Source organism: Homo sapiens, chromosome 5 (assembly GCF_000001405.40).
Source record: "Homo sapiens chromosome 5, GRCh38.p14 Primary Assembly".
Classification (NCBI taxonomy): Eukaryota; Metazoa; Chordata; class Mammalia; order Primates; family Hominidae; genus Homo; species Homo sapiens.
The window spans coordinates 171,956,423-171,979,821 of NC_000005.10; the positions used below are offsets into that span (position 1 = coordinate 171,956,423).

Below are 23,399 nucleotides of genomic sequence, written 5' to 3' on the forward strand. Positions count from 1 at the left end.
GCCTTATATTGAACTCGCTCTCCAGTTAACTGTGTTAGTGAGGTTCCAGTACAGTTCCCCAAAGAAAGCAATTTGAATCAATAACCACACCAGTGCTACTCTGAATGTTTGCCAATAAGTAAATAAAATGCCTGACTCCAATATGAAGAACATTTTCCTCCTTCCTGGCTCCCCAGCTCCATTTAAAAATTGTAAACATGAATAGAAAGATAAACTTGAGAACAGCAAAGTCACCCATGCCATCAATAATATCCCTCTAACTCAGTGCCTAATTTTGCAGTTTTCCTCAAACAGGACAGTCTCAACCAGATGCCAGGAATTTAATATGGCTTTTCAAAGATATATCAAACTGTCTGGAATATGCAGTGATGAAAACTGAATATTGCTACTGAAACCATATTTAATTAAACACATGCTTGCTCAGAGCTTCAGAAATAAAGCTACAATGTTTTCTTCCTTGGCTCTCTTAGAAGCCACCCCAACAAGAGAGGGTCACCAGCTGCACTCCTGCTAACAGTTCTATCCTGAGCAACCCTTTCCCATCCACCCCCAAAAAGTTTTACTTTTATCTGTGGAATTCTCTGCCGGCCTCGGCCTGGAAAACTGGGTGGACCCTGAGGACAGGTGTCAGATCTGGCCTTTGGGAGGTGGCCCAAACTGACAAATTATTGGCAGCATAAAGCTATGATCTTTATAAACTTCAGTTTGAGGCTTTATGCCAGTAGTGATTCCCTCCCCGCTCCTTTTTTGAAGAGGGGAGAGAAAGCAAGCCAAAAGGATGAGTTTCAAAATAGAAAAAAATCACCACTTTAATTATGAAACCCTCCCAACTCAACAAAGAACTGTTAAAGGTAGCCAAATGGAAAATGTCAGGAGTTTTTTTTGGCACATGCGCAACTATTAAACATGAGAATTACAACCTCAAGGTGAGGGGAAAAGAGTAAAAAGCAGGAGCAGAAAAGGGGAGGACAGGGCCCAGCCAAAGACCCGTTTGCTCAAAAGGGCCCCTCTTGGTACTAACTCCTCCATGTGGGGCACCCAGGCTGGAGGAAAGCAGAGGGTTACACAGAACATTTAGCAGACTTAACATTGGATTAAACACACTACTGCAAGTTTCAACAAATGTTCATGGCATACGTAAAAACACATTTACAACAAGAAAGAAGAGAGGCACCTGGAGACATCTGACACTGGGCATGCTCTGCAGGCAACTCAGTGCGCACATGCTCTCTACCAGGTTGGCGCAGCCTAGCCACAAAGACCTTGGCACAGAACACTGCAGGATGACAAAAAGGAAGGAAGAGAAGAAGCAGTTAGAGGCCGCAACAAATCACTCCTTCACACAGGCAACTTGAATGTTAGTTGGGGCAGGGGGTGCACCCTTGGCAGTTTGGAGGTTAGGGATGGTCCCAGACAGCTCACTGAAACCTTGGGGGAGGGCCCACTTGATGTTCTATGGAAAGGAGGTTTCTGCTGCCAACCACTAATTTCTCAGGGTACAGTGAATAGAATCAAGAGGGACAGAGAGAATGTTTAAACAAAAACCCACCAAAGGGAACTGTGAAAGTTTGAGTGCAAAACAAGATTAGTGGTGAGATTGTCGACTACAATTTCATCAGTGCCACAGTTTCTCGTCTATGTCACATAACCATAATTGTCATCGTTGTTTAAGAACCTACAAAACCACAAAAAGTGCTATTTGCCCAGCACTTTACATTTGTTCTCTAATCCTCATATCATTGTAAGGAAACCGAGGCTCAAAGGTTAAGTGATTCGCGCAAGGACACACAACAAAGGAGGGGAGAGCCAGAATTTCAAACTTTGGTTTGTCTGCTACCAAAACCCACATTCTTTCCACAAGACTATGATGCTGCTATTGTGAAAACTTATATCACCCCAACTTTTATCATGTGAGTAAAGTTTTGCACCTCCCTAAGGTAAAATCACAGGAGACCTAAAGAATAAGGCAAAAAGAACAAGAAAGATGGGTGACAGACTGATAGATAAAGGCAATAAAAGAGGTGATTTAAAATGCATGATTTTCAGTGTCATCACATCTCCACCTTCCCAAAGGAAAAACATTGGAACGTCATGATTTTCATTTTAGACTTTGTTTACAAAGTCCGTCTGACATGACTAAGAATTAAAAAGCTTATTTAATTTACCTCTTCGATCCTCTTTTAAAAGCTTGCTGATTTTAAAGGAATTAAGAAAAAAAGTAAAATATAAAATGAACATATGTACTACGGCTACTACTTAATAACCATTAGACCATACTGTAAAGTTAATAACCATTAGACCATACTGTTCAATCATTCAGATATAAAGTCAATTAATTTACTATGGCAAAATCAATACTCATGTAACAAAAATTAAAGGTGAGTGTTTGGGTTCAACCAAAACATCCCAGAAGTCTTGGACCCAAGCTCATAAACTTGTTTGTTCTAGCTATAATTAGAATAGCCAAACACCCTCATTTGCCTGAGATAGTCCTGGATGACACTTATTGTCCCCTCATAACTTTCACTCTCAAAAGTGTTCTGGTTTAGTGGATAAATTCTATTATCACCCAACTGCAATACAAACAAAGATAGCTTTGCTTGAAATCAGAGAGACCTGGGTTCCTATCTAGTATCTGTCACTTACTAGTTACAGTTCACCTATGATACACGGAATATTGAGATTACTTAGAAAAGGCATTTAAAGAATACAAAATCAGAGGAACCAAATGGAATAAAAAAATTGAGCAGCTTTCTGGTAGCAATGAAAATGACACACTTCCAAGGTGTGCCTTTATTCCAAAGCCAATACAGTGGCAATATATCATTGAAACTCCAGGTACACAAATTTTGTTGCCTCAACACTTTGCAGAGTACCAACCACAGAAGGTGCTGAATAAAATAATGAAATAAAATAATGAAAGTAGTTGCCATTTATCAAGCTTCTGTTATGTGCTAGACAGCTGAAATAGTAAACTCTCACAATAACCCTGTAAAATAGGTATTATTCCATTTTATGATGAGGAAACTGATGATCAGGAAAGAGATATCAAGCAGAGTCCCATGGAATTTTTTTTCCATTAAGAAAAAAATTTTTTTAATTAAAACAGAAAGGAGAGCCTGATTTGTTAAAACAGCAACACAGACCAGGAATGGTGGCTCACACCTATAATCCTAGCACTTTGGGAAGCCAAGGTGGTCAGATCACTTGAGGTCAAGAGTTGAAGACAAGCCTGGCCAACATGGTGAAACCCCGTCTCTACTAAAAACACAAAAATTAGCCAGGCGTGTGGTGGCACACACCTGTAATCCCAGCTACTTGGGAGGCTGAGACAGGAAAATTGCTTGAACCTGGGAGTCAGAGGTTGCAGTAAGCCAAGACCACGCCACTGCACTCCAGCCCAAGCGACTGAGCGAGACTGCCTCAAAAAAAAAAAAAAGAAAAGAAAAGAAAAGAAAAAAAACCAGCAACTTGTCCAAGGTGCAGGGGAATAAGGGCTAACTGATGGCAGAATTAGGACTAGTAAATTAAACCTGACAAGCTGATTTTCTTTCCACTACAACAAACACTCTCTATCCAGAGATATTCTTACACATGTTTAATAAAAGAATACTTACATCAGCATACATCACAAGTGGATGGGCAAAGAAGAGAGTTTAAGGACTACACCTAGCCAGGTGAGGTGGCTCACGCCTATAGCCCCAGCACTTTGGGAGGCCGAGGTGGTGGGATTACTTAAGCCCAGGAGTTCGAGACCAGCCTGAGCAACATGGTGAAACCCCACCTTTACAAATAATACAAAAGTAGCCAAGCATGGTGGTATGCACCCATAGTACCAGCTGCTCGGAAGGCTGGGGTGGGAGGATTGCTTGAGCTTGGAAGGTGGAGGTTGCAGTGAGCCAAGATCGCAGCACTATACTCCAGCCTGGGCAACAGAGTGAGATCCTGTCTCAACAACAACAACAAAAAAGGATTACATCTGGATTCAGCAACTAATATCAAATTAACACCAAAGCTCATACGTAAATCAATTTTTACTTATTCAGTAAAAAGTCAGGTTCCCTCTGCAAGGGTTAATAGTATTTGCCTCAAAGGGTAAAAACCATGAAAGCATAAGGTATTGATTAGATTCTGCTAATAAGTTGGAATCTAAAACTTTTTAAAAGGCAATTTTTCACATTCAGTAAATCAAAAAATCACAGATTGTGAGAACAGGAAGGCATTTTAAATACTATTTAGTATAACCTCGCACTGCTAATTTTAGATTAAGAGGTGAAGAAATTAAATCCAAATTAGAAAAACAATGATATTATCAAGGCTTTTTAACCATTTAATGATTTAATCAATACTCATAACAATGTGGAAAACAATCAACATAAAGAAAATTTTCAGTGAACTTGATTTTAAAACATTAGCCATTTATTAGAAGACTGATATTTCAAAGCTTTTTGAAGCTTGTTATTTAACTAGTATATTCAGGGAAAGATTTTTAAAAGACCCTCTGAGGGTCAGATTTCCAAGATTTTCTCTTCATAATATCTATGGTAGATACTGTAAGATATAAAGAATGATGCCAGTATTTATTAGATGCTGACATCATGCTAAATACTTTATAAAGGATATCTCATCTCATTTTTACAATAATCCTACACAATAGACATTACTTTCCCCTTCAGAAGAGGAAACACAGGCTCAGAGATGAAGTAATTTACTTATCCAAAATCGCATAGTGCTGGGTTGGTGCTAAGGTCTGAGGCAAGAGTACTCTTCACTGAGACAGCTTGATCCTAGGCAGCACCCAAGCTGGTGTGTGATGCAACTGCCAATATCTACTAATCAGAAGTCTCAACTCTCAGATCATCCCAGGACTGGGAACTTCCAGTTTCAAGACGAGTGTTGTTTTCCATTTGGTAAGAACACAGACAGTGGTTAAAAAGTATTACAACTGCTTACTTTCACACTCAATAATTACTTTGAAGCTAAGTGACCAGCCACATTGCTGAAAATCATCTCTACTCAACAGAAAATGCTATTCTAGGAAATACACCCACCTTTTAGTAAGAAAGTCTGTACCCGCTAGCCAAAACAAGGTAGGTTCCTCTTAGGTCTTAGATCTAATAGATCAGGAGGACATTGATCCAATTTGAAAATAATGGATAAAAATAAAAGTTCCACATTCATCAACCTAAGAGCATTAAATTACAGCTAGGACCACAACAGTAATTGATTTTTTTTTTCTTTTGAGATGGAGCCTCGCTCTGTCACCCAGGCTGGAGTGCGGTGGCATGATCTTGGCTCACTGAAACCTCCATCTCTCAGGTTCAAGCAATTCTCCTGCCTCAGCCTCCCGAGTAACTGGGATTACAGGCACCTGCCACCATGCCCGGCTTATTTTTGTATTTTTAGTAGAGACGGGGTTTCACCATGTTGGCCAGGCTGGTCTTGAACTCCTGACCTCAGGTGATCTGCCTGCCTTGGCCTCCCAAAGTGCTGGCATTAAAGGCATGAGCCATGGCTCCTGGCCGTAAGTGATTCTTGAAGCTTCAAATTTTTAATTTAGGGACATGGCTGGAAACCCATGTTGATCATTCGAGAATAACTATTATCCATGATTGCTTAACTATTCAGTTAGAATAATGAAAAGATTTCTTCATATTAGCTAAATTCACAGTACAGACGATTGTCCTTTTTTTTTAAGTGAGCAGTGTTCTTTCATATTGCTAAAATATGTCTGAAGAATACCCCTGATACCATGGGTATTTACCAATTTTAACAAATACTTATTGACCTGCTTATTAAGCCAACAATACACACTAAGCCTCTTTCCCCTTAAGACTTTAGCCTTGAGCTCAAGAGAAACAACCCAGGAGGATCATAGTGGGGATACTTAACAGAAGACTTTGGAGGGTCAAAAATTGCCAAGATACATTTGTTATAATTTCGTATTTAGCTACTTGTAATGATTAATATTCTAATTTAGGGTTGTTCACAGAGAACAGGAAATGATTCATAATGGGTTGTGATATTAACAGCTAATACCTAATTAGATTGTATATTTGTAGGTTCTATAGCTGAAGAAAATAATATTAGCCAGGGAAGCTGACAGTGTTTATTACTTTTGCCATATCCACCGTATAATCAAAAAAACCTAAATCGAAACCATTATGCTGAGAAACACCATAAGTCAGTAAAGACAAAAAGAATAATCTCTTTTGGCATTTTTCAAAAGCAAAAAGTTTATTAAAAGAGGTAGGAGAAAAATGTCCTAGGCTCTCTTCCTATTACCATAGGAACCACAAATCAAAAGGAAAAAGTGGTTGCAGGCACCTTGTATTCTGATTGGCTCACTTGAAGAACTCACAAAAGCTAACTTCGGTCTGTTTTTAGATGGGATTGTTTTGAATCTCCTGCCCTGATTCCTTCTCAAAGAAGCAGTTCTTTTAAAATTTCCCCAAAGAGGTATTTTATGTTAATCATCTCTCTAATGTTATAACCTCTGATTTAGAAATCTGCCTTATTATAGGTTTTCTATAACTCCCCCCACCACCAATCTTTTTATTTAATCCACTTCCCACAGAATCATTACCAGCTTCTTCTCACTCCTGTCATCATGATTGAAGTAATCAAGTTGAGTGGCTGTTCCATTAACCAAAAAACTTATCTGAACTTATATCTATCTGCACATAGTAAAGCAATTAAGACATTCTCTTTATTCTCCAGGAGCTCACAGAAGGCAATCTTAAACTTATAATGTAAATACACATACACACACACACACACACACATATATATATACATACACACACAAATATGAACTTAACCCACCCAAAGGAAGAGGATGCCTGAACTAATTCATAAAGGGTAAGTAGGAGGCAGCCAGGGGAAAAAGAGAAAGACATTCCAAGAAGAATACATAGCATAAGCAAAGCCAAAGAGGTAAAAAATGAAACATCCTATGCAAGTATCTGCAATTAATTTAGCATTAAAATACTTAAGTGTGAGATGAGAAAGGCTTAATTAGAGAGACAGGGAGGGACCAGAGGTCTCTCTATCAAACTTGTGACTTAATCCCGTAGAACAACAGGTCTTAAACTCTGTGCTACAGCCCATCAGTAGTTGGCCCAATGCTTCTCAGCTGTGTCATCCAATTTTACATCAATGTGAATGACTTTTTTTTCTGCAACTCAGCAGATACACAGTTTGTACAATATCTGTCAGAGAGGAATAGAAACAGATCATGCAACACAGAGATGGAGGTGGAGGTGGACAGGGGATGGAGGTTTTTAGATTAAGAGGTAAGGGGTGAAGCATAACATCAAGCCAAAGCCAAGCCAAATCAAGCCAGCAACAAAGAAATATCCCATGTTTTCTAGAACTCGTGGAGAATATTTGCCGCAAACGATAAAAGAAGTCTGCTCAACAGTAACCCAATGACAAAGAGTGTAAGCAGATAGTACAAAAACCAAGGATGTTTTTATAGATATTATATTACGGATTTTGTTAAAGACCAGAGTGTTCTGAATGTGTTAAATTCCTTTAAGTGAGACATCCAAAATTTTAATATTCAAATCACTGCTACAGACAATGATGAGACAGCTATTAAACTGTTTTAAGCAAAGGAATGACCCTTGGCAGCTGCAGCCAAGCATGATTTGCAGAGAAATAAGGATAAGTCTCTTCGAGAATCTATAAGATAGCAGCTCATTTTTGTTTTACAAACAATGCAATTTCTTTCAGATGGGCTACAAAGAGTAGACACAAGAACCAGCACTTACCAACTTTCATACTCAGTCTAGGTCCTTTTTTCTCCCCCCACAAAACTTCCACCAGGCCCTACTGATAGAATATCAAACAAAGAGTGCCATGATAATGATGAAGAAGAGAAATAAAAGATCAATTTCATGGGGTAACCATTTGGCAGTAATGCCCTTTCCACTGGGAATCTCTAGCCATGAGTGAGGACTGGGTCTTGATGAATCAGACAATAGGTGGGCTCAAGGGGAGTACATAACTCCAGCTCTCTAAACCTAGACTTGACAGCTAGAGTCCCCATTCAGTTTCTGCTGAAGACTGCCAAATAAACTAAGCATTAAAGTTAACCCAACTTAGGAATTATCCTATTGTGTCTCATCTCTCAGCCTGTTGCTTTTCAAGAAGCAGCAGTGTTTGTAATTAAAGTAAGGACAAAGCATTCAGAAGAGTCTTCTAAAATTCAGAACCTAGGCTTCCACTATTAATGTCTGATGGCAACCTATAAGAAAGAGCACTCTCACCACCATAAATGCATTGTTTTTAAAACCAAGAATCACAATGTAGCAATCAGGTTGTTAAATAAAAGTTAATTCACGGTTTAAGGCATTTTCTATAACCTTTTATAGAACTGAATATTGGCCCATTACCCTAATGTGCAAAATACTTTCTTTTCCTTATAATGGCATTTTATTATAACAGAATTTGATAGTAAACATGTGACATGTAACCAAAAAGTTTACATTTTAATTCTTAGCAACTGTATTCTAGAATTATGTTCTTGTCATAATATTATATCACAGGGTATATTCAGGCTGGGATATATGTTAAGGGAAGAAAAGGGGATGCAGAGAAGTAGGCAGGAAGGGGAGAAAAAAAATAAGGATGAGAAGAATGAGGAAAACCAAAATTTACTATCTGCCAAGTTTTTAGATTCAAGAACAGCCCAAAAGTAGTGGAATCAGGACTCAAAGTCAGAGGCCAAACTTTGCTTAAACACCACTATAATTTTTTTAATTAATGTCCAAACAATTTTCATCTTGAATTATTCTAAGGTAAGATATTAGAACCCATCCAGGCAAGATGGCTCATGCCTATAATCCCAGCACTGTGGGAGGCCAAGGCAGGAGATTACTTGATGTCAGGAGTTTGAGACCAGCCTGGCCAACATAGTGAAAGCCTGTCTCTACTAAAAATTACAAAAAATTAGCCAGGCAGGTGGCACGCACCTATGATCCCAGCTACTCAGGAGGCTGAGGCACGAGAATTGCTTGAACCCAGGAGGCAGAGGTTACAGGGAGCTGAGATCATGCCATTGTACTCCAGCCTGGGCAACAGAGTGAGACTCTTGTCTTTAAAAATAAAAAAAAAAAAAAAAAGATATCAGTACCCAAAAGCATTAAAACTAAAATGGATCTTCACTGTAATCTCTCTGGTAGAGAGATGAAGGGTAATGTTCTTTTCAAATTTTTATTCATCCATATTTTCCGATTTTTCTCCAATGACCACCTAGTACTCATATTAATACCTTAATAATACCAAGTATAATTTTAAGTGATGACTTATTTTGTTTAATTATAAAGAGTAACTTGACAATTTTTTTTTAATGGGGCAGTTCACAACATATTCATGTAGTTTGGCTCTGTGTCCCCACCCAAATCATATCTCGAATTGTAATCCCCACGTGTCAGGGGAGGGGCCTGGTAGGAGGTGGTTGACTCATGGGGGTAGACGTCCCCCTTGCTGTTCTCGCGATAGTGAGTTCTCACAGAATCTCATTGTTTGAACATGTGTGGAACTTCCCCCTTCTCACCCTCTCTCCTGCATCAGCGTGGTAAGACATGCTTGTTTCCCCTTTGCCTTCAGCCATGATTGTAAGTTTCCTAAGGCCTCCCAATCATGCTTCCTGTTAAGCCTGCAGAACTGTGAGTCAATTAAACCTCTTCTTTATGAATTACCCAGTCTCAGATAGTTCTTTACAGCAGTATGAGAACGGACTAATACACAATTTAAATAAAAACATATTCTTTTACCAGGAATTAATTTTGAGTCCATCTTAAACATCCACAGTTTAAAATGTGTTTAAATGCTCAGTGCTAGAAAAATATTTCACCTAGTGGCCCTTGGAAACATCAAAATCATAATGGTTTATTCCTGAGGAAATCCAAAGGAAAAAAAAAATCATCCTTGTCCACTTTACAACTACCACCCATGATTCAAAAATGTCACCAAGTTTTTCAGAGCTCTTACAGAAGCTGGAGGAGGAAAGAATTAGATGTTTGAGGTGGGAAGTGGAATCTCTATTCTAAGCAGCATGACAGAGAACAGGATGTAACAAAATAATCTATTTCCGGCATAGCCACATGGATCCTCAGTTGTACTAGGACCAGCGTGAGGTTCAGCTGCCAAGGGGGAACAGAATCCCCCAGCAAGCTCAAGGTTAAATCAGTCTGAACCCAATCCCAATGAGGTTTTTCCAAGATCCATAAATCCTGAGCCTGGAGATAATTTAACACCTAAGTACATCTGGGCCTTTGTTGGTTAGCAGCTGTGGTCCAACTAGGAAAGTTGTTCAGGACTAGGGCGAGACCTCTCAACCCTAAGTTTAATCTTTTTCAATAAAAATGTTAAATGACATGAAAATTAACAAAGAAGGATAAATTGGGAGGGGGTACAAAGTGAGTACCCTATGGCTATACCGTACTCATTAACTCTCATACCACCTCTGGCCAAACAAGCAGCTGAGTTTTACAGACAAGAAAAACTAAGGACCACAGACATCAAATCACTTGCCAGAGGTCAAGAATGGCAAAACTGCATTCTATCTGACTCTAAAATCCCTGCTTTCTTCCCTTATCTATAATTGCCCGTCACTTCCTTTACCTGACATTAAACTCCGTAGAGCAGCAAGTTTCCCTGATTTATTTTCAAATTTTATCTACCTGTCACTCATCTATATTGCTGATTGATACAATCTCTGGTATGCAACTCTGCAATACATAGTCAAGACTTGAAACTCATGCACATCATTTGACTCAGCAATTTCACATGTAAGAAATTTTATCAAGGAGACAAAATAAAGAAATGTCCAAAAATATAGCCAAGAAGATGTCATTCACATCACTGTTCATAATAGCAAAGGGAAAATGCTAACCAAAGGGACAGGTTCCACAGATTAGGGATTACCCATAAGACAAACTATTGTGTTTCTGCTAAATAGAAATCATGCTATACGAATATATTTACAGACACTAAAGGAAGTTTAATGCATAGAAAGAAAGTTACAATACACGGAAAGAATTCAAGAAACACTAAGTGAATAAAGGCAACAAACCAGGACTTACATTATGATCCCATGTTCATTTAATAAATATAATATATACATAGGCCGGGCATGGTGGCTCATGCCTGTAATCCCAGCACTTTGGGAGGCCGAGGCAGGCGGATCACCTGAGGTTGGGAGTTCCAGACTAGCCTGACCAACATGGAAAAACCCCGTCTCTACTAAAAATACAAAATTAGCTGGGTGTAGTGGGGTACGCCTGAAGTCCCAGCTACTCAGGAGGTTGAGGCAGGAGAATCGCTTGAACCCGGGAGGCGGAGGTTGCTGTGAGCCAAGATCACGCCACTGCACTCTAGCCTGGGCAACAAGAGCGAGACTCTGTCTCAAAAAAAAAAAAATGCATATATATATATATATATATATATATATACACACACACACACACACACACACACACACACACACATATAAATCTGGAATTAAACACAGGTGATTTTTATTTTATTCTTTTGGGCTGCCATATTTTTTCAGATGAGGCCATACAATTGACAGCTCAAACTTCTCCATTCCCTCTCCTCTGAGCCACCTCTAAACAGAATATTGGCATTTCCACAGTTACTTAGGGATCTTATCATAGCAACTTGCCCCCTGACTGTAGTAGACCATTCTCCTAATGAAGGTGGAGAGCAGGTAGGGTTAGGACAGCTATAAGAATTTGGTTGCCGGGCGCAGTGGCTCACGCCTGTAATCCCAGCACTTTGGGAGGCCGAGGTGGGCGGATCACGAGGTCAGGAGATCGAGACCATCCCGGCTAACACGGTGAAACCCCTCGTCTCTACTAAAAATACAAAAAATTAGCCGGGCACAGTGGCAGGCACCTGCAGTCCCAGCTACACGGGAGGCTGAGGCAGGAGAATGGTGCGAACCCGGGAGGCGGAGCTTGCAGTGAGCGGAGATCAGCCATTGCACTCCAGCCTGGGCGAAAGAGCCAGACTCTGTCTCAAAAAAAAAAAAAAAGAATTTGGTTGCACTTTGAGGTAACAAAGACACTCTCCTCCATTCATTTCAATGCTTCTGGCTTCTAGATAGCTAACAGATGATCTCCAGTCAGAAAACTCCTAAGTATCTTCTAAGTTACTACTTCTAAATATGTGACAGTATATAGTCCATACCGCATGACATCTGAGAGGTCTTCCAGGTGACAAAACTAAAACCCCAATTTGTTTTTTAGACATTTTCTAGGAACTGAGAGACATCTGCTCTCATTTATACTAGTGCCCCTGTCCCCACCCTCAGTTAATCCAACTTCCCCTTCCCTAACATCTAAGACACTAGTGCTGGCTGCATCGCTTCCTGCTCCTTCTACCCACCATCATGAGTCAAAAGACTTTAATCAGAGAATTTCTGGAAATATGTGCACAACGAGATCCTGATTGTCCTCTAATATACCAAGCCAAAATCCTTACCCTACTTTCATTTAACAGAGGGCAAAGTTGACTACGTTTTTAAAAGAACATTAGAACACACGGAAGGGGCCGGGCGTGGTGGCTCATGCCTGTAATCCTAGCACTCTGGGAGGCCGAGGCAGATGGATCACGAGGTCAGGAGTTTGAGACCAGCCTGGCCAACATGGTGAAACCCTGTCTCTACTAAAAAAACAAAAATTAGCCAGGCGTGGTGGCACATGCCTGTAACCCCAGGTGCTCAGGAGTCTGAGCCAGAAGAATCATGTGAACCCAGGAGGCAGAGGTTGCAGTAAGCTGAGATCACGCCACCGCGCTCTAGCCTGGGCAACATAGCGAGACTCTGTCCCCCATCACCCCCCAAAAAAAAGAATGTATGGAAGGGAAAACTTTTTCTCCTGATGTAATGAACATTCTCATTTTTTTCTAAGAAGAGATACCACTTTCTGGAAGATGACCTGAGAAATGTATCTTCTCTCAATAAAGGTTTGACCCAATTATAGTCAGACTACATCATATTTCTATTTTATCTTTTTCATTTTAAACTGCTTAGTCATTTAAAAAAGTTTACTAAACATCAAGTATACTAAATGCTTTGATAGACAAAAATTCTCAAAACTATATATTCTGGTATTAAAAATTATTTCTGCAAATAAAGCCATATTGCTTAAATTATTTCCTGGTTTGCTAAACGGAAAAAGATGGCTAAATTCCTAAAGTATGAAACATTTTAAATAAATGCAGTTCCACTGCCTTCAAGAGTATTAAAACTTAACTAGCAGCTTTTTTTGTTTTTGTTTTTCAGACAAAATTGCGCTCTGTCACCCAGGCTGGAGTACACTGGCATGATTTCGGCTCACTGCAACCTCTGCCTCCCAGGTTCAAGTGATTCTCATGCCTCAGCCTCCCGAGTAGAGCTGGGATTACAGGTGTGCACCACCACACCCAGCTAATTTTTTCTATTTTCAGTAGAGACGGGGTTTCACTGTGTTGGCCAGGCTGGTCTCAAACTCCTGGCCTCCAGTGATCTGCCCACCTCAGCCTCCCAAAGTGCTGGTATTACAGGAATGAGCAACCACGCCTGGCTTAATTAGTGGTATTTTTAACATCTTTTGTAGACTTAACACTTCCAAAGACTTTGAAAGTCCATCTAACATGCTACTTGTCTCATTGAGAGCTCTGAAAAAGTACCTGCAGAATAAAAGTTGGCCCTGTTAAAAAATCTTTTGAATTCTGCTATGTTTTGGCTTCATGTCCCCACCCAAATCTCATCTCCCATTGTAATCCCTCGAAGGAGGGACTTGGTGGGAGGTGACTGGATCATGGAGGCAGTCTCCCCCATTCTGTTCTTGGTATAGTGAGTGAGTTCTCAGGAGATCTGATGGTTTTATGAGTGTTTGACAGTTCCTCCTCTCTCACCTGCCACCATGTAAGACATGCCTGCTTCCCCTTCCACCATGCTTCTAAGTTTCCTGAGGCCTCCCAGCCATGCAGAACTGTGAGCCAATTAAACCTCTTTTCTTAATATTTATAAACCACCCAGTCTCGGGTAGCTCTTTATGCAGTATGAGAACAAACTAATACAAATTCAAACCTTACATCATTTAAACAAGCCCTCTACTATTTTATAAACACTACTCATTTCTTGAATACATACAACATTTATTTTCAAAGACTTAACAGGCCCCTACACCAAATAAATACATGTTCCAAGTTAGTAGTGTTTTAATTTTATATACATACGCCCACACAGAGATTTGGAAAACAATGGTAATAAAAATTTTGCTTCTTTAGCTAAGAACAGCATGAAAAGCGAGTTGTCAAAGATAATAAAGTGGCACATTTTATCATCCCTTAATTTTACAGTAAAGTTTACACTTGCTCTTCTTCATATAGTTCATTGTTCTTATATCCTAAGCTGACCTTGGTTTCAAATAAAAATAAAATGTGTGCCTTACAGTCCACTGGGCTCTAAGAAATTAATTTGTCTTTCAGGCAGGGGCTAGGACAGCCTTAGAGTAAGGGACTCCTGCTGCTTGCTGCACAGCAAGGATGTCTTTGATTCCCTTCACATTGTTTGAATCCTGCAGGCAACTGGAAAAGGGGAGTTCTCACGACTTGAAGCAAGGAATTTCGCTAAATGCTGGAGCTGAAAGGGACCTTACAGACTTTATAGACCATTTTGTCCATGTTCTTAAAATATTTTTCTAGTCTAGTTCCTCTAAATCTCTCACACTGTGCTGTCAGTACACACCACTTGAAAGCACCCAGTCTTAACAGCAGATAGTTATGGCTTAACACCTGCAACAATAAAGTCAATCTATAGGTTTACAGATGCTTTTTGCATGTGTACACATGAATATGGACAGAAAACAACACTCTGGAACTTCTCACAAAGGAATATATTTATCATCTAAGGTTACAAAAGTCTTATAAACTACTGCAGAAACAGAGTACTACTATTACAAGCAGAGTCTCATCTGTGCCCCTCCTTTAAGACCCTTTTTCCATGCGTTGTATGTAACTTTACCCCTGACTTCATCTTTTTGTCCTATTTTTCCTTTCATCTTCATTTTCCCACTTATTTTGTTTTTAATCTTCCTACACTGTATATGTCACTGTAATCACTCAAATCCTTTTTCTGAAATAAACTAAGGTTTCTGTATATGTTACCAGCAGCAAAAGTCATTACGTTTTTGCAGGCAGTGAGGAGGAAAAAAAAAAATTTATTACATTTTTGAACTGAGAAAAAGGGAAAAGTTGAAAATTAACAACTATAGGGAGGCTGGGCATGGTGGCTCACACCTGTAATCCCAACACTTTGGCAGGCCAAGGAGGGTGGACTGCTTGAGCACAGGAGTTCAACACCAGCTTGGGCAACACAGTGAAACCTTATCTCTACAAAAGATACAAAAAATTAGCTGGGCCTGGTGGTGTACAACTGTAGCACCAGCTACTCAGAAGGCTGAGGTGGGAAAATCACCTGAGCCTGGGAAGTCGAGGCTGCAGTGAGCCGAGATTGTGTTATTGCATTCCAGCCTGGACAGCTCACACCTGTAATCCCAGAATTTTGGGAGGCTGACACAGGAGAATTGCTTGAGCCCAGGAGTTTGAGACCAGCCTGGGCAACACGGTGAAACCCTGTCTCTACAAAAGATACAAAAATTTAGCTGGGCGTGGTGGTGTACACCTGTAGCACAGCTACTCTGAAGGCTGAGGTGGGAAAATCACATGAGCCTGGGAAGTCGAGGCTGCAGTTAGCCGAAACTGTTACTGCATTCCAGTCTGGACAGCTCACACCTGTAATCCCAGAATTTGGGGAGGCTGAGGCAGGAGAATTGCTTGAGCCCAGGAGTTTGAGACCAGCCTGGTCAACACAATGAGACCTCGTCTCTACAAAAATAAATAAATAAATAAATAAATAAATAAATAAATAAGCCGGGTGTGGTGGCGCACACCTCTGGTCCCAGCTACTAGGGAAGCTGAAGTAGGAGGATCGCTTGAGCCCCGGAGGTCAAGGCTACAGTGAGCCAAGATCATGCCACTGCACTCCACCCTGGGCAACAGAGTGAGACTCTGTCTCATAAAAAAAAAAAAAAAAAAAAAAAAAAGTTAAAACTATAGGACTAAAACTTTTTTTTTTTTGAGACAGAGCCTCACTCTGTCACCCAGGCTGGAGTGCAATGACGCGATCTTGGCTCACTGCAACCTCCGCTTCCTGGCTTCAAGTGATTCTCCTGCCTCAGCCTCCCAAGTAGCTGGGATTACAGGCGCCCACCACCACACCTAGCTAATTTTTGTATTTTTAGTAGAGATGGGGTTTCCCCATGTTGGCCAGGCTGGTCTTGAACTCCTGACCTCAGGTGATCCACCCACCTCGGCCTCCCAAAGTGCTGGGATTACAGGCGTGAGCCACCGTGCCTGGCCAGGACTAAAACTTTAATACCAGTTGTTAGTGCCATGAAATGTGTCATCATTGACTTTGGCAAACTAACAACCACCTGTGGACATTCCAGCAGCCAGGTTATTGCTTCACCATCTATCATAAATAAACTGTGTAGGCTTTAACTCAGAAGAACGCATATGCACAGAAGTACTGTGCTTTCAAGGACCACTTACTTGGAAAGAATACAGAATATCACAAAAGAGAGAGTACTGTGGCACAGTGGAAAGATCACAGGTTTGTTTTGGGTTTTATTTCATTCTGTTTTTTAATTGAGGCAAAAACACACTGAACTTGAATCTAACCAGCCTCTGATCTAGCTAAAATTTATAAGAAATACAAAGAGGAACAAAATATGTAGACCAAATGAGAACATAATCTGCAACACCCAGAAAGTGGGAAGTTATACAGAACAAATAAGCAACCTAGCTTCTTCAATAAATAAATGGCAAGGAAAAAAAGATGGGAGAGGCGATTTTTATAGATTCAAAGAGATATAAGAAACTATTCACTATAAGCAATCTGTGACCTAAGTCTGGATCCTGAATTCAAAAGACAAGCTAATGCAATAATTTGAGGAAAGCTAAAGACAAATTCCAATAGAGGGCATCCTACAATGTACCTGAGTGGTACTCCTCAAAACAGTCAAGGTCATAAAAAAAGAGGACAGTCTGAGAAACCATAACAGCCAAGAGCAGCTTAAGGACACACAACAGCAAAGTGTAAGGATGGTATCCTGGATGAGATCATAGACCAGAAAAAGGACATTAAGTAAAAACTAAGGAAATCTGAATAAATCTTGGACTTTAGTTAATAATAATGCATCAATACTGGTTCATTGATTGTAACAATGTATCACACTAACATAAATGCTAATCATAATGAAAACTGGGGAGTGTTGGGGAGGTAAGGGGGATTGAGAATTCTGTACAACCTACTCAATTTTTCTGTAAGTTTCTGTAAATCTAAAACTGTTCTAAAAATAGACTATTAATTTAAAATATATTTATGAAACAGGCAAATATGAACATTATTTGATATTTAAAAATTATTAGTTTTTTAGATGCAAATAATGGAATGATATATATGTGTGTGTATGTTTTTAAGTCTTCGTTTTTGAGTACTTATCTTTTACAGAAATTCATGGATAGATGGATGGATCAAGTTAAGAGGGGAGATTAGAGCAATGTTTCCCAAAGTTTGGTACTCAAGATGATTTTTGGTGGTACATGAAGATTCTTTTAATGTTTCATAGCTACATGTTTAATTTAAATATATATTGTAAAAACATAGGTCAGGCACAGTGTCTCACGTCTGTAATCCCAGCACTTTGGGAGACCGAGGGTGGCGAATCACCTGAGGTCAGGAGTTTGAGACCAGCCTGACCAACATGGAGAAACCCCATCTCTACTAAAAACACAAAATTAGCCGGGCGTGGTGGCACATGCCTGTAATCCCAGTTCCTTGGGAGGCTGAGGCAGGAGAATCACTGGAACCCAGGAGGCGGAGGTTATGGTGAGCCGAGATCACACCATCGCACTCCACCCTGGATGACAGGAGCGAAACTCCGTCTCAAAAAAAAGAAAAAAAAAAAAATACACACACACACACATATATACAGGTAGCACATCAAACACATGATTTTATAGGTTTTAATTGCTTATAAGTTTCCCTTATACATAAATTTCTTGAAGCTAAAAAAAAAACAGGAAGAAGCCGAGCATAACCTATGCCTACAGTTTCAGCTACTCAGGAGGCTGAGGCAAGAGGATCACTTGAGGCCAGGAGTTAGAGGCTGCAGTGTGCTACGACTGCACCTATAAATATTCACTGCACTTCAGCCTGGGCAACATAACAAGACCTCATCTCTTAAAAACACAGAGAGAGATATCATTGTCAAAAAAACATGCAAAGGTTGGTTAAGATCCCAAGTCTAACACTATGTGACCTCTTTTGAGAATTTCGATCTTGTTGCCCAGGCTGGAGTGCAACGGCACTTTCTCGGCTCACTGCAACCTCAACCTCCCAGGTTCAAGTGATTCTCCTGCCTCAACCTTCCAAGTGGCTAGGACTACAGGCACGCGCCACCACGCCCGGTTAATTTTGTATTTTTAGTAGAGACAGGGTTTCACTGTGTTGGTCAGGCTAGTCTCGAACTCCTGACCTCAAGTGACCCACCCGCCTCGGCCTCCCAAAGTGCTGGGATTACAGGCGTGAGCCACCACGCCTGGCAATACTATGTGACCTCAAGCAAGTTATATAACCTAAGAGTCAGCTGTTTAAATGGCTGGAGAGGTACAAGACCTGCTATATTAAAAGAGACATCCAATAAACAATAGCTGTGAAATTACTAAATAAAAATCAACCTAAAACTCCAACAAAGAAGCCATATGCCACTAGAAAAGAATGGAGCTGGGAGAACAAGGAAGGGAAGGAACATGAGAGTTTACAGAGGCAGTTTAGGCAGAGGCAGTCAAGGCTTCCCCCTTTTCTTCTCAATCTACCCAAATGCAGAGAATCTGCTGCTGGCCAGCCACAGCCTGGAGATCCTGCTGCTCCTGAGCCTCAGGCTCTCTCGAGTGCTGCTGGCTAAGATGTGGTTATTACAGAGGTGGGGCCTCTAGAACAATCAGAAGAGTTTTTCTTACCCCATGCTGGTGTGAGAAAGAGCACAGGCATTACAGTAAAAATGAATAAGTAAAATGTAAGTAAATAAAATCTATCACTTTGCTATCTACGTGACCTTGGGCAAAAATTAATCACCTCCAGTTCCTACTTCTTCCCATGCTAAAATGTGGAAAACAAGTCTACCTTTCAAGGTTACAGTAAAGGTTAAAAGAAACAGGGGGTGTAAATCTGGCAAACAGTAGGTATTTAACAAATACTAGTTCTCTCCTCCCTCCTTATTTTGGCAGGATGACAAGAGAAACTCTTGGTGAATAAAAGGGATTAGGGCGAACAAAAATCATAAAGAATAGCATTTCCAAAAGTGTGTCTCTTGGATCACACAGATTTCGAACCAAATATATGGGGGGAGGAATTCTGGGATCAGAAAGTTTGGGAAATGTTGGGAAACACATTATTAAAATGATGATTATCAGGTGAGTTTCCAAAAGGAGACTATATACAGCATTTACTAACAACTCACAGGAATAATCAACCTATTAATCACTAAAACACATGAGGATGGAAGGATGGAGAGAGGGAGGGGAGGAAGGGAGGAAGAAGGAGGGGAAGGCAGCAGTTAAGGCCATGACAACTCCTTCAAAATGATAGTTGAAGTAACAGTGAGATAAAACTATCTGGACGACTTACAAGTCAACGACAGTTTTAAAATCTGGTTTAGAACCAGAGAGGGGAGAGGGGATGCTTTTTCAACTTCTGAAAGAAGTTTCTGATGCCAATTATTTAATTTTCAGGATCAAGTCAATTACGAGATGGTACTGAAACAGAAAACACCAAGAGTTTAAGTAGCAAATATACTCACTTTGGAAGTAGAAATAGCCTTTTGATATAAGATAGTAATTCTCATTTGCTCTTCCAAATTTATTCCCTCATTCGACTGGGCAACTGCTTGGCAAGCACTGTGATAGATGCTGTTATGGATTGCATATGTCCTCCAAAAAGCATGTGTTGGAAACTTAATCCCAAATCTAACAGTGCTGGGAGGTGGGGCTTAATGGTAAGTGTTTAGGTCATGAGGGCTCCACTCTCATGAATGGATTAATGCCAATTATAAAAGGGTTTCAGGCTGCAAGTTCAATCTCTTGCTCTATCAAGCAAAGCTCTCTCACGCCCTTCCATCTTCTGCTGGGATAATGCAGCAAGAAGGCCCTTTTGAGATTCAGGTCCCTTAACCTTGGACTTCCCAGCCTCCAGGTGAGCTCTAAGACATAAATCTCTGGGCCGGGTGTGGTCGTTCACGCCTGTAACCCCAGCAATTTGGGAGCCCAAGGCAGGTGGATCACCTGAGGTCAGGAATTTGAGACTAGCCTGACCAACACAGTGAAATCCCATCTCTACTAAAAACACAAAATTAGCCAGGTGTGGTGGTGCATGTCTGTAATCCCAGCTACCTGGGAGGCTAAGGCAGGAGAGTCGCTTGAACCTAGGAGGCAGAGGTTGAAGAGAGCCAAAATGGTGCAGCCTGGGCAACAAGAGTAAAACTCCAACTCAAAAAAAAAAAAAGAAATCTCTGGCCAGGCAGGGTGGCTCACGCCTGTAATCCCAGCAATTTAGGAGGATGAGACAGGAAGATCACTTGAGCCCAGGAGTTTAAGACCAGCCTGGGCAACATAGGGAGACCCCACCTTCACAGAAAATTTAAAAATTAGTCGGGTATGGTGGCACGTGTGGATCGCTTGAACCCTGCCTAGAAAGGTGAGGCTGTAGTGAGCCATGACTGCACCACTGCACTCCAGCCTGGGCAACAGAGCAAGACCATGTCTCAAAAAAAAAAAAAAAAGAAAGAAAGAAAAGAAAAAAGAAAGAGGAAGAGAAAGAAATCTCTGTTCTTTATAAATTACCCAGTCTCAGGTATTTTGTTATAGCAGCACAAAACAAACTAAGACAGATGCTGGGAATGAATATGCCATGAACTGAAGATGACAAAACAGATATGATCCTCGCCCCCATGGAGATTACTTTCTAATAAGAGCTGATTGTCTAGCAGGGGATTACGCAATACATTTGTGTATCAGTCCGTTTCATGCTGCCAATAAAGACATACCTGAGACTGGGCAAGTTACAAAAGAAAGAAGTTTAACTGGACTTACAGTTCCACATGGATGGGGAGGCCTCATAATCATGGCAGAAAGCAAGGAGGAGCAGGTCACATCTTAAGTAGAATGGCAGCAAGCAAAGAGAGAGAAGCTTGTGCAGGGAAACTCCCCTTTTTAAGAAAGATCAGATCTCGTGAGACTTATTCACTATCACGAGAACAGCATGGGAAAGACCTGCTCCCATGATTCAATCACCTCCCACGGGGTCCCTCCCACAACACATGGGAATTCAAGATGAAATATGGGTAGGGATACAGCCAAACCATATCAATTTGTAAACTACAGTTACATTAACAGCTGTAAAAATAAAAAAAGAACTGACTGCTGCTAGAGCATGACAAGGGAACTTAATCTATAAGGGTACCTAGGGGACCCAGGCATGGCTCCTAAGGAGTTGACACTTCAGCTCAACTCTAAAGGACAAGCAGAGGTTAACTAGACAAGGAAGAAAGGGTGACCCCTCCCTAATAATGAGAACAAATTATAATGCTTGTTGTAACCCTCAAGCAGGTTCAGAGGAACAGAGAAAAAGAAAAAAAAATCACTGTGACTCAAGTGCAGAAAGCGAGGGTGAAAAAGAGCAAAAATAGACAAGACTCAGGAGGAAAACAGAGGTGTCAAAGTTGGGGTTACTGACTGATGCAACCAAAATCATCAAAGGAATATCAAAGTAAAAGACAAACTACATTGGCACTTGAAACCTGTCCAGTGGTGCCCTCCACATATATAAGTTTTTTCAAGGTATTTCTATAAACATAATACAGGAAAAAACTGGACGAGAAATAGGGTTCAGTGCATATTAAGAAATAAAAGCCCACCTGAGAAGGGGAAGGAATTCCCAACAGAACCCCACCTCAAAGCAGCAAAGGCTAGTAGTAGGAGTGAGAGTCCTTGAAGCTGTCAGTGAAGCCAACAGCAACTGATCCTAAAGTGTCTCACAGAGAGCATCCAGAGCCAGAGTCTACGCAGAGAAGGGACCCAATTTCCATTTGCCATGGACAGTATGCAGAGTGAGGCAAACACTTCCACAGCTGGCTTTTAACAAAAATGGCCATTTCAATCACAAAAGGGCAGCAGCAGTGCCCCAGTCACGACAAAATCAGAAGTTCCTCACCCTAGTGATTTCCTTCCGCTACACTCCCCCATGCACCTAGAAGCAGCAGAGCAGAACTACAGCTAATTTTAACACTTCTCTTTCTTCACAAAAGAAATACGAATAGCCACAAACATTAGAAAAATACATCCAATGTCACTAGTAACTTAAATCTTTAAATCTTTAATTAAACTGAGATTTTTTGATTTATTAAAACCCTAAAATGGCATAAACATGAAGAAAGCATGTTTCATGCAGAGAATATAGTCTGTCATGTCACATCATGTTCATAAAGGTTAAGAACAGTGGGTAAAACCTTTGGCTATATGAAATACTCATGCTCTTAAAAAAAGTTAGAGACCATCCTGTGCAACATAGGGAGACCCCATTTTGTCTCTACAAAAACCCTATATTTTGTCTCTACAAAACTTCAAAAATTAGCCAGTCATGGTGTTGCATGCCTGTAGTCCCAGCTACTCAGTCAACTGAGGTGGATCACTTGAGCCTGGGAGGTCAAGGTATGAGCCACAATCATGCTACTGCATTCCAGCCTGGGAAACAAAGACCCTCTCTCAAAAAATAAATATATACATACATAATACATACATACATACATACATATGTACATGTATATGTATAGATGAAGGAAGGGAAGAATACATACCATATATTAATAGTAGTTATAATGGAAACTTTGTTCTTTTTCCATCTTACTTTACGTTTTTCATTACATTTTTCCATCTTATTTTACATTATATTTATTTTCATTTTTTCTATAATAAATGTGAATTGCTTCTGTAAAAAAAGGTAAGTTCCTATTCAATAATTTTGCAATTATTTTTTAATATATGTGTAAATAATGGTGGTGGACTAACTGGTTAACAACATGGGGGAAAAACGAACTTTGATCCCTACCGCAACCATAAAAAACAATTATTTTGAGATAGTAAAACCCTAAGACTTGTTTGAAAGCCTTGTTCCCTGGTGCCGTAAAGAAATGGCACTTGAACATAAATTTAATTTTCTCAGCAAGGCCATTTTTCTATTTTCTGCAGAAAGGGTACACTCGCCAGCAGCTTAGCCACGA

The 23,399-nt window shown here is 40.3% G+C and overlaps 1 protein-coding gene across 11 annotated transcripts in view, besides 3 other annotated features; it reads right to left on the reverse strand.

Annotated features, from left to right (window-relative positions):
- FBXW11 (F-box and WD repeat domain containing 11) overlaps positions 1-23,399 on the reverse strand; it is a 145,090-nt gene that overhangs the window by 94,874 nt on the left and 26,817 nt on the right. For 5 of the 11 annotated variants that reach the window (NM_001378975.1, NM_012300.3, NM_001378974.1 and 2 more), the window contains one exon: positions 1,175-1,276. The exons of the other annotated variants lie outside the window; for them this stretch is intronic. In NM_001378975.1, the coding sequence (NP_001365904.1) occupies positions 1,175-1,276 (102 nt within the window). The remainder of the gene's footprint in view (positions 1-1,174; positions 1,277-23,399) is intronic. 11 annotated transcript variants of the gene reach the window in all.
- Positions 9,343-9,637: an enhancer, noted in NCBI's record as "tiled region #1765; HepG2 Activating non-DNase unmatched - State 19:H4K20, and K562 Activating DNase unmatched - State 10:DNaseD". NCBI's record gives its function as "activates a minimal TATA promoter and a strong SV40 promoter by Sharpr-MPRA in HepG2 and K562 cells {active_cell/tissue: HepG2 | K562}" and the evidence as "EXISTENCE:reporter gene assay evidence [ECO:0000049][PMID:27701403]".
- Positions 9,343-9,665: a biological region, named in NCBI's record as "Sharpr-MPRA regulatory region 1765".
- Positions 9,616-9,665: an enhancer, noted in NCBI's record as "active region_23617". NCBI's record gives its function as "activates an Ori minimal core promoter by ATAC-STARR-seq in GM12878 lymphoblastoid cells {active_cell/tissue: GM12878}" and the evidence as "EXISTENCE:reporter gene assay evidence [ECO:0000049][PMID:35858748]".